This window comes from Homo sapiens, chromosome 1, assembly GCF_000001405.40.
Source record: "Homo sapiens chromosome 1, GRCh38.p14 Primary Assembly".
Taxonomy (NCBI): Eukaryota; Metazoa; Chordata; class Mammalia; order Primates; family Hominidae; genus Homo; species Homo sapiens.
The window spans coordinates 107,556,980-107,559,028 of NC_000001.11; positions in this window are offsets into that span (position 1 = coordinate 107,556,980).

Genomic DNA, 2,049 nt, shown 5'->3' on the forward strand with positions numbered 1-2,049 from the left:
GTCTATCAAACAGTATGTGATATAATACCATAAAATACACAGGAAAAGCGCTCAGTTCTGAAGAAGAGGATTTCACGTATCCAAGCTCAGAAGTAGCAATGCCAATAACAAAGGTTAGTTAGGAAACTAGAGCCACTGTGACTTTGGATAAGATATTTATTATAGAATTATACCTATCTAGTTGTGGCAAATACTAGCGAAGTAATATGCAGAGGGGAGAGTTGGAGGAAAGGAGACAGAGTCACCATCCAGTCCTTCTAAAGCACTGGTGCAGGGTGGACAAGCATAGGCTTGCAGGGAAATCTAAGAGAGTTTACTGAGACAGCAAAGGGAATGTCCTTAATAGGGCTGGGGAAACTATGGCCTCTGATTAGTTCCACCTCTGGGGAACCGCCAAACTTCTGATTTTGAAACTGGTTTTGAAGCCAGGTCTAGTAGTCATAAAGAAGAACTAGACAAGGAATGCAGGAGAGAAGTGGCAAGTTTGAATCTCTTGGGCACTTCTGAATCTGTCTATTCTCCACATATTTGACTGCAAGACCTTCCAAGATTATGACTAGTGATTTACTTCCACTTTCTAAACCTTGTACAAATTCCCCCCAACTCCAATTGTGTTCAGGAGACATAAAGGGAATGGGATTCTGAGAAATGTAGTTCCACTTTAACCAAGTGATATGGCACACTTCAGCAAAATTCCAGAGGAAAAAGACTGGTCATTTATTCATTCATTCATTTAAATAAGAAGTATATTGTGCCAGTAACACTCGAGGCACTCAGCTTGCAGAGCTTCAAACAGACTTAATGGAATGTAAAACATAGCAGAACAGACATTATAAACACGTTTCAAATACTGAAGTCTATAATTATAAACATGATAGTGCTGTGAAGGAAAATTAACATGGGCCCATGAGAGAAAATGACAGAGTAGGAAGAAGTTAGACTGAGTGGTAGAGAATACTTCACTGAGAGATGACATGTAAGCTGAGACATCACAAATGAAGAGTGCAAGAAAATATTCTAGAAAAAAAAAAAAAGCAAGTAGCCCCATCTCAAAATGCCCTGAAAGGGGTTGAGTACACTTGCGACAACCTCTTCCTTACTTGCCATTTTATCTTAAACCCACTTCAAGCAGATTTTTACACTTGGGACAACCTCTTCCTTACTTGCCATTTTATCTGAAACCCACTTCAAGCAGATTTTTGTTTCTACTTCTTCACTAAAATTCAAAATGTCAGGCTGTGCTCAACTCCCTAAATGCCAAGTGCAGTGGTTAATTCACAGCCCTCATCTCACTTGACCTCCACCAGATGAACACCCTGCCTTGTTGAAATACTGTCTTCACCTGGATCCCAGCGCATCCTCGTTTGTTTCTACCTAATAGAAGGTGATATGCTCCCTGAGAGCAAGGTCTTTGGCTTGTTCACTGCTGTATCTCTAGTGCCAAGAACAATGCCTGGCGCAAAATAGGCAGTACATAATTGTTGAATGAATTAAAGGAGTCCAGGAAGAAGCAGCTAGTAAGACAGAAAAAGGAACAAGAATAAATGATGTTTTGAGAACTAAGTGAAACAATGATCTCAAGAAGGAAGAGGGTGATCAGCGATTTAAATGTTGCAGAGAGTTGACTTCTGGATTTGGCAATGTGGAAGTTTTTGGTGAAGGTTTTGTGAAGTGTTAAGGTCAAAATTCAGATCAGAGTGGGTTCAAAAGAGAATAGAAGAAGAGGAATTAACAGTAGCAACTTTGGTCAGCTGTTTTGAGGAGTGTTGCTTTCTAGGAGATCAGAAAATGAACAGTAGCTGAAGGTAAATACAAGAGGAAAGGAGCTTTCCCTTTTTGTGTATTTATTTTTTAAGAAGGATATCTGTATCCTGATGGAAGGGTCTGATAGATAAATGAAGTTTGAATTTGCATAATTGAGAGGGGATAATTGCTGAAGCGATGTATTTGAGCACAGGAAAAGAAATAAGATTCTGTGGGTAGGTGAACTGGTGGGCTTTGGAGAAGAGCACAGGCCCAGTTCACACAGCAAGAGGAGATAAGGATATT